Source organism: Homo sapiens, chromosome 4 (assembly GCF_000001405.40).
Source record: "Homo sapiens chromosome 4, GRCh38.p14 Primary Assembly".
In the NCBI taxonomy this organism is placed as follows: domain Eukaryota; kingdom Metazoa; phylum Chordata; class Mammalia; order Primates; family Hominidae; genus Homo; species Homo sapiens.
Window position 1 is genome coordinate 2,508,024 of NC_000004.12, and position 9,214 is coordinate 2,517,237.

The following is a 9,214-nucleotide window of genomic DNA, read 5'->3' on the forward strand; positions in this document are numbered from 1 at the left end:
TTTGTATTGACGGGATCTCGCCGTGTTGCCCAGGATGGTCTCGACCTCCTGAGCTCAAGTGATTCATCCCGCCTTGGCCTCCCAGGGTGCTGGGATTGCAGATATGGGACACCATGCCCAGCCGAGGAAGTGTGAATTTCTGATCTTGGGCTAGCTTACCACAGTACTAATTAAACTATTCAGTTCAGGGGATTAGTTAATTGTTGTTATTTCAGTTTTGGTTTTTCACTTATCTTAAAAGCCTCTCAAATAGATTAGAGGCCCCAGAGCTTGTGTTACACCTCTATCCATCTCTCAACTCATCTGGTAGGCATTTATGAAGCGCTGGTACTCTTCCCTCTGCACCTATCTTCTGTGCTGGGCAAGTACTGTGCCACCTGCAGGGCCATAGCTGTGATTTAGGTTCATTACAGAGTTCTTGAGATGTCTGCAGGGATTCTGGAATTTGATGTGACTCGGCCACTGGGTGGAGGGAACACCAGTAATCAATACTGTATTGTCCACCAGCTGAGAGGCCAGGCTGTGGTCGTTGGTTTTGTTTTTTTGTTTGTTTGGTTTTTGTTTTGTTTTGTTTTGTTTTTTGTTTTTGTTTTGTTTTGTTTTTGAGACGGAATTTCACTCTTGTTGCCCAGGCTGGAGTGCAGTGGTGCAATCTCGGCTCACCACAACCTCCACCTCCCAGGTTCAAGTGAGTCTCCTGCCTCAGCCTCCTGAGTAGCTGGGATTACAGACATGAGCCACCACATGCCCGGCTAATTTTGTGTTTTTAGTAGAGGCGGGGTTTCTCCATGTTGGTCAGGCTGGTCTCAAACTCCCGACCTCGGGTGATCTGCCCGCCTCTGCCTCCCAGAGTGCTGGGATTACAGGCATGATCCACTGCCCCAGGCCTTTTTTTTTTTTTTTTTTTTTTTTTAATTAAAGACAGTTTCACTATTGTCGCCTAGGCTGGAGTACAATGGATCTCAGCTCACTGCAGCCTCCACCTCCCGGGCTCAAGTGATTCTCCTGCCTCAGCATCCCAAGTAGCTGGGATTACAGGTGCCCACCACCACACCCGGCTAATTTTTGTAGTTTTAGTAGAGACAGGGTTTCACCATGTTGGCCAGGCTGGTCTCAAACTCCCGACCTCAGGTTTTCTGCCCGCCTCTGCCTCCCAAAATGCTGGGATTGCAGGCATGAGCCACCGGGCCTGTGCTTTTCTTTTTTTCTTTTTGAGACAGTTTCGCTATTGTTGTCTAGGCTGGAGTGCAATGGCGTGACCTCGGCTCACTGCCCCCTCCACCTCCTGGGTTCAAGTGATTCTCCTGCTTCAGCCTCCCAAGTAGTTGGGACTACAGCCACGCGCCACCACACCCAGCTAATTTTTGTAGTTTTAGTAGAGACAGGGTTTCACCATGTTGGTCAGGCTGGTCTCGAACTCCTGACCTCGAGTGATCCGCCCATCTCGGCCTCCCAAAGTGCTGAGATTCCAGGTGTGAGCCACCGCGCCCAGCCTGTGGTGTTGTTCTTATACTGAAGACTCATCTGGAAGCTGTTTTTCTCTCATTAAAAGCGGGGACAGTCAGAATTGTTACCAGTGAGGAAACACTCTGGCGACCCTGTTCTTATGCACCCCAGTAGTTGTGTGTGTATCACCTGCTGCTTGCCAGCAGCCCCTGGGCTCAGTGCTCAGGACAGGCCTCAGTTTGGTACCATCCACAGGCAAGCTGGGTATGACTCACAAGAGACCATAAAGACTCAGTACGCGCACTGTCATGGCTGGGGCACTGGGAGTGTCATACCCTTTCCAGGTGTCCACACCTAATTAGTGGGTCATCTTGGCAGAGGGTGGGGGCATGTTGGAGCTGTAGAAAGCTGGGGTCATTTCTAGCCACAGAAGAATTTGCTTTTGCTCCCAGCTAAACCCAAGGCTTTCCCCAAGGGCCAGCACTGTTACCAGAGCCTCCTTTTCTAGATTTCATGCGGACAGTACATTGTGCCGGCCCTGGTAAGTTTGGTCCTGATGGTGAGGTTGACTGATTGTCCCCAGATTTCCCTTTTCACCGTCTGCAGTCTCCTCTAAGAGGAAAGGGGAGCACGTTTCAGTGGCTCCACGTATGTGGATTATATTCTCATCCTCAAATCAAAGACCTTTATACTCAGTCCTGCATTCTTCCTGCATGGCCGTTTGTGTATGTCAGGATGCCATTTGGGAAACAAAATCCACTCTAATTATTCCTAAGCTTAGTGGATTTTAACATGGAAGGAGAAGCCTAAATCAGCAGTGTCTGGGCTGGGTCTCCAGGAATAACTCTTGACCTCGAAGCATTGACCCACCTAGGGAGCTGCTGTGTCTGCTCCATGAAGAAGGTCTGGAGGCGGCATCCACCCCCTGCACTCATATCTTTGGGTTCGTGTAGACAGTACTGCAGACCCTTTCTAGGGAGGAGAGGCCTGGGCTCAAGACATAGCAGCCTCTGCCAGAAGTGTTTCTTCAGGATGCAGCTGTGCCTGCCAGTGCCAACACCCTCAGCAGCTCAAATCGGCCTCCATCCCCTGCCCTGCCAGTAGCATGAGTGTGTCTGTTTGAGGGAACTCGGTTCACGTCTAGGATCCTGGCTGCACGGGAGTCAGAGTAGAGGATTAGAGCTTCTTGTCACTGTAGGGCAGGATGTCCTGCCCAGGGGACAGGCAGGGTGAGGTGAGCAGTAGGGCTTTGGTGGTGAGAACTTTCCTGAAACAGCCCCTCCTACGTGCTCAGCAAGAGGGAAAGGGCGTTCCACTGGCCCCCCTAGATGGGTAAGAGCACTTGGCCAGAAGGTGGGAGGAACCACGTTTGAAACTGTTGGAGCAGAAATTGTCTAGATGTAAGTTCTGAGCTGGCAGGTGAGAGGCTTGTCAGGTTCTTAGGCCCCCAGGACAGAGAATTGGATTGTGTTCAATCCTTGGTGTGTGTCACACGCATTGGTCATGCATAGCCTGCTTTTCTCTGTTAGTTACTTGTAACAACCTACTGAGCAATGCAAATCCTCCTCCACATGAAGGCTCCACCTTGGCAGTGGCCTACATTGGTCGCGTCAGCTTGAGAGAGCATCATGCCCCTAGTGCTGTCTAAATGTTCACTGCCTCACGTAACCCTCACAACAGCACAGTCAGATGTGGGCTCTGGTGACTCTGCTTCAGAAGAGAAAGCTGCAGCCCCCAGATAGTAAGTAAGGTCCCCAGGTCTTGCAGTCAGCACATGGTGTGGCTGTGGCAGCCCCCAGATAGTAAGGAAGGTCCCCAGGTCTTGCAGTCAGCACATGGTGTGGCTGTGGCAGCCCCCAGATAGTAAGGAAGGTCCCCAGGTCTTGCAGTCAGCACATGGTGTGGCTGTGGCAGCCCCCAGATAGTAAGGAAGGTCCCCAGGTCTTGCAGTCAGCACATGGTGTGGCTGTGGCAGCCCCCAGATAGTAAGGAAGGTCCCCAGGTCTTGCAGTCAGCACATGGTGTGGCTGTGGCAGCCCCCAGATAGTAAGGAAGGTCCCCAGGTCTTGCAGTCAGCACATGGTGTGGCTGTGGCAGCCCCCAGATAGTAAGGAAGGTCCCCAGGTCTTGCAGTCAGCACATGGTGTGGCTGTGGCAGCCCCCAGATAGTAAGGAAGGTCCCCAGGTCTTGCAGTCAGCACATGGTGTGGCTGTGGCTGTGTTCACGCTCCAGGAGACTCCACTAAACACCCAGCAGGGAGAGACACAGCACATCAGCTGGGAGGTGGAGTGACTTGGGAAGTGGGCTTGACTGACTGGGAGAGGTGCACAGATCCTCTGTGGGTGGGAGGAGGGTGGGGCCTCTGCTGCTCACCAGAGGGTTCCACAGAGGGTGTCACACGTCAGAAAAAAGAAATGGCTTCGTTTATCACTTATATCAAACTGATTGCTTCTTTCTCTTTTGTTTTTCTCCTTCTGTTTACAAGATTGTTGACGGTGAGTGGTTTCGTTTCCTTTTTCACTGGGTTTGGAGAGGAAACTGGCATAGGTGAGAGCCGCGGTGCTGCAGGTCTTGCCAGACCATCCCCAAGGGCTTGGAGCGCTCCAAGCAGGAAGATGCCTTCGCAGATGCTGTGGTCAGACCCACACAGCCAGTCCCCCTTGTGCCTGCTGAAGAAACTTCACCACTATCATTGAGCACTGAGCTATAGTCCTTTCTTGTGGCCTACCAGATTTTGGAGAAGGCTGGTAGCTCACAGCAGGGGTTGGGGGGTTTCTCCTGGGAAGATAAGATAGTGGCCTCCAGAGCTGGGCAGAACCTTCTGGGTTATAGCTGAGCATGGCAGCAGTTTGTCTCTGGGGGTCCCAGGCAGGGAAGGAAGAGGGTCTTAAGAGGCGTCAGGATGGGAGTGGTGAGGATGGTAAGAGTAGAGAGCCTCCAACCTGAAAATGTGACCTCTTACCTTAGAAAGAAGAAGACCAAGGAGGAATGCTAGGAGGCTGCCCCAGGACCATGCTGACAGCTGTGTGGTGAGCAGTGACGATGAGGAGTTGTCCAGGGACAGAGACGTATATGTGACTACCCATACTCCCAGAAACGCCAGGGATGAGGGCGCTACAGGCCTCAGGTACCAACGTGCCCCCAGCTCTGCTGCCGCCATGCTAGGATGTGGGGCCAGGGCATGGGAATACTTTTCAGCAAATCTGTGAGCCCTTGGCCCTGGAAGGGCTTGCCCAAGCCTCTACCCAGCATCTGGATACAGTTGGAACTGGGTCCAGAACTGAGTCCAGCTATTCCCACTGTAACCAGAGGATGCCAAGCGCTGACACAGTGTGTGCAGACAGTCCCAGTGGCCCCAGACAGGGATCCTGGGGCTGGTAGGGGCCTGGGGGAGGGCAGGGTGACTCAGGTTGTGTGCACCTTCTCATGTTCACCCTCCCACATGCCCTTGGGGCAGTTGGCTTTCCTGAAAGTCTCTCGGATGCCCGCGCTAAGGCAGAGTCAGGAGGCCAGGGACGGGACTCTTGTAGGGGATAGGGGCCACTCACGTGACAGGGTATAATAAAATGTTTGCGTTGACTGAGAAACTAACGTGAAGCACTGTGCTCTTAGGCCCTCAGGTACTGTCAGTTGTCCCATCTGCATGGACGGATACTCAGAGGTAAGTAAACCAAGCTGTATCTTCCAGGCTTCTGGTTTCTAAACTTCACTGAAAGAATTGGATGAGACAGGATCTTCCCCCTCGGTGGGATTGGACACCCCTACTCACAGTCATGCCTGGGCCGTCACTTATTGCAGATCTGCCTGTGAGGGGAGAATGTGCCAGTTTCTCCTTGGACCCTACAACTTTCACCTTCAGCCCCTATACTCCTGTATGCCCTGAGCTTCCGGGTGCAAATGCGTCCTCCTTTTTTGTGCCCCATCCTGGCTCTAACTGAAAGCTGCTAGTGTTTACTGGGGTCCCTCATAACCCTCTTGGGCTGTCACACTGTTGAGATGCCATGGCCCCTGCCTCCTGCTCTCCAGCTGAGAGAGACCACAGCAGACACAGTTAGCTCTCCAGACCCCTCCCTGTTGTAGCCTGGCCCTTGCTTTCCTTTAATTAGTCATCTTAGGCATAGGTGGGTGGGATTCTCTGGCCCCATGGCTGCTCTGGGACAAGGGCAAACTCGGAGGCTCTTCTTTTTAATGCCTTCTAGATCGTGCAGAATGGACGTCTCATCGTTTCCACAGAATGCGGCCATGTCTTCTGTAGCCAGTGCCTCCGTGATTCCCTGAAGAATGCTAATACTTGCCCAACTTGTAGGAAAAAGATCAACCACAAACGGTACCACCCCATTTATATATGAAGTATTCAGAGCCCCCCAGGAGAGACGGATGGACAGACAGACAGCCAGGTTCTCCAGTGGTATCTGCCTCCATTTTCCTGAGATCAAAAAGACTGTTTCGAAACCAACATCTGATATGTAAACTGCTCTTTTGTTTCCAACCCCTTCCTTTTGTTATCTCCAGTTTGATGCTATGGCGCTGGACCCAGGGCCCTCCCAGGCCATCTCTGTTCCTCTGGGGTGGTCCAGTTCTAGAGTGGGAGAAAGGGAGTCAGGCGCATTGGGAATCGTGGTTCCAGTCTGGTTGCAGAATCTGCACATTTGCCAAGAAATTTTCCCTGTTTGGAAAGTTTGCCCCAGCTTTCCCGGGCACACCACCTTTTGTCCCAAGTGTCTGCCGGTCGACCAATCTGCCTGCCACACATTGACCAAGCCAGACCCGGTTCACCCAGCTCGAGGATCCCAGGTTGAAGAGTGGCCCCTTGAGGCCCTGGAAAGACCAATCACTGGACTTCTTCCCTTGAGAGTCAGAGGTCACCCGTGATTCTGCCTGCACCTTATCATTGATCTGCAGTGATTTCTGCAAATCAAGAGAAACTCTGCAGGGCACTCCCCTGTTTCCTAAGAACGAAAAAGTGCAATAAAGGCCATTCGTTACCTACTTTTCAGCAGCCCACAAGATGTAGCACTATTAGTGTCCCCCTCAGAGGCTTAATGTTGCCTGTGGAGCAGTGCCCATCCCAGCCCGTTTCTGCCCACCAGTTGTTCTCAGGAACCTTACCCATGCTCCAGCGTCCTTCACCTGGCACAGGACATGCAAGATAAATAGGGCAGGCACGTGTTTGGGTGTCCTCTCTTTTCTGATAAAATCCATCCCGTGTTTGCCACACGCCCTCCAGTCCTCAGTTCCCACTGCCTAACGTCTGCCCCCGTGTAGATACTGAGAGGTGGTGGCAGTAATTGTGGCCTTATCAGCCGCTCAGTTCCAGGCTTTTGCCCAGGTCACTGTTGCCCCATGTTCGGAGAACCTGGCCCACCTGTCTTGGCTTTCTCATCCTTCCCAACCCAGTGCCGTTTATTTCAGAAGCTTCCTGGCCACTGGGCTTGGATGCTTCGGGCTTCTGACTGCTCCATAGGTTTTGACTGGTGAAACAGGGGCCCAGATGACAACCTCTCCTTCGCTCCACAGGTACGCGGGAGCCTCAGGTTCTCTCAGGGGCAGCAAAGTGGCCCAAGCTGCCCCTGACAGCACAGGGCCTGGGGGGTGGCTAACGAGAGAGGCCTTACAGTGCCGGCATGCCTCCTCTTCCACTGTCGTCCTTCCTCAGAGGGCCTCACGCCAAACAAACGGCCTTTTCGTGTGAAACATCTTCAGGGCGGGAAAGGGGCCACTTCTGGCTTTGTTAGCAATAACTGACCTTCAGTTTACCCTTCTGAAGGAGCAGGGACTCAGCACAGAATTCACTTTAGACGGGGCTGAAGGAGTGTCCCTCCTCTATGTGAAAAGAAAATTGTTTTATTCTTCATTCTGACTTTTTAACTGTTTGGCTCACTTCCAGTTAGTTTGAATGAAAATAATAATTTTCTACTTGGAGTTGAAGAGGGCAGAATCCGCAGCTCTCATCATTGTGATGTGTAGCATGTCTGCCCTCTGACTGGACATCATTGCCATTAACTTTCTTCTGGGCATCACGGCAATGTCACGATGCCCAGACTTGGAGCAAGGCAACCTTGGAGTCAGTCCACTCATAAAATATGGTAACACCCATTTTAAAATTTAAGTTTTGTCCTTAAAGACAACTTCAGTGGTTAATTATAAAAGTTGTGTTACTTCGTCCTAAATTAAATTGATAGAAAGATTTAAAAATGTGTTTTGTTTCTACTATTCAGAAACTGCGAACTAGGGAAAGGTTGGTATGAAGAAATGTCTTTCCTTTTTTCAATGTACATAGTTCAACTCTTTCTTTGTTACATTTAAACTATATCCATGGATATCAGTCTGCTTTGGACTCCTCTGCTAGTGTTACAGATGGAAATAAAACCATTAATTTGAACCAAATATCTTTTACACATTCATTTGCTCTTTGGAATCAATTTCCCCCCTTTTTGCCAAGGTGCGGGGTTCTTATCTGCCTCACGTTGAGTGTATTTTGCATTGGTGTGTGTTCAGGAAGTTTCCATGTCCTAAATCCAGCAAGCATGTGAGAGGCTGTTCTTGGAGCACAGCCACAAGCCCAAGCCCTGGAGTCCCTAAGAGAGCAGAGTCTACTCTGAGAGGCAAGGTTGACCAAGGAGCTGTCTGCTCAGCTCGGCCAGTCTCTCAGAGGTGCTGGGGGTGCTGCTCTGAGTGGGATGGACTGAGATTGCCCTGGAAACCTTGCACTGCAGCACCCCCCTTTGCCCCTGACCACCTAGATACAAAATTTGCCCTCTGAGTGGGAGTCAGCACTGGGAGTGCATGGATATGCCAGCCACTGCCACAGGCGAGCAGTGCCAGCAAAGCCACAAGGAGGGAATGGGCTTGGCAGTGTGGCCAAGCTCTCCCTTTGCCTCTGCCCTCTGTACCTATCCAGCTGTCCCCAGGGACTAGAAAGGCTAACATGCTGGCTGCCTGGGTCCCAAAGGCCTACCATCCAGTGCAGTTTGCTTACCATGCTCCTGGCACTGCACTTTTGGCTCTGTGGGCAGTGAGACAGACATCATGGAACATGTTTACAGAGGAGACAGTCCCCCAGGCCACTGGAAAATTGAAACTGATGAGGGTGGGGTACGGGAAACCAGGAGATCCAGCAGGAAGAAGTTGAAGCTGTCCAGAAAGCTCTCTCTGAATAAGGGCTGCTAAGTTGCCATCTTCAAGGTCCAGAAAGCTCTCTAGGGAAAGAGGAAAGAATTCCAGAGACCCCAGGCCAGGCCTGTGAAAGTTATGAGAAAGAGCTTCTTGCTGGCATACAGTAGGGTCTGCAGGCTCCCCGATACCTAAAGGCATTGGACCAGACACTTCTGGTGGCTACCCAGGGCCTGGCAGTTCTTTACCCCAGGAGCAAGCCTAGGGGAGGCAGGGAGCAGTGTATCCCTAAGACTGGTACTGCTGGAGTGGGTCTGGTCCTGGAAAGGAGGGAGCCCCCAAGGCTGGCTATAGAAACTCAAAAGATGTCTGTATTAACTTTTTCGGTGGGGGGGTGGTTTTGTTTTGTTTTGGCAGCATAGAAACAATTGATTCTCTATATTGTGTATCCAGAATCCTTGCTATTTTTTTTTTTTTCCTAAGACGGAGTCTGGCTCTGTCGCCCAGGCTGGAGTGCAGTGGCTCGATCTCAGCTCACTGCAACCTCCGCCTCCCAGGTTCAAGCGATTCTCCTGCCTCAGCCACCCAACCAGCTGGGATTACAGGGACGTGCCACCATGTCCAGCTAATTTTTGTAGTTTTCGTAGATACGGG

At 51.6% G+C, this 9,214-nt stretch overlaps 1 protein-coding gene across 4 annotated transcripts in view; it reads left to right on the forward strand.

Annotated features, from left to right (window-relative positions):
• The window catches only part of RNF4 (ring finger protein 4), a 46,752-nt gene extending 38,918 nt beyond the window's left edge, over window positions 1-7,834 (forward strand). For 3 of the 4 annotated variants that reach the window (XM_047416062.1, NM_002938.5, NM_001185009.3), the window contains 4 exons: window positions 3,933-3,942; window positions 4,415-4,574; window positions 5,060-5,108; window positions 5,647-7,834. In XM_047416062.1, coding sequence (XP_047272018.1) covers window positions 3,933-3,942; window positions 4,415-4,574; window positions 5,060-5,108; window positions 5,647-5,796 — 369 coding nt within the window. In that variant the 3' untranslated portion in view covers window positions 5,797-7,834. The remainder of the gene's footprint in view (window positions 1-3,932; window positions 3,943-4,414; window positions 4,575-5,059; window positions 5,109-5,646) is intronic. The other variant, NM_001185010.3, reaches the window with a different exon arrangement.
• The last annotated feature ends 1,380 nt before the right edge of the window (window positions 7,835-9,214 follow it).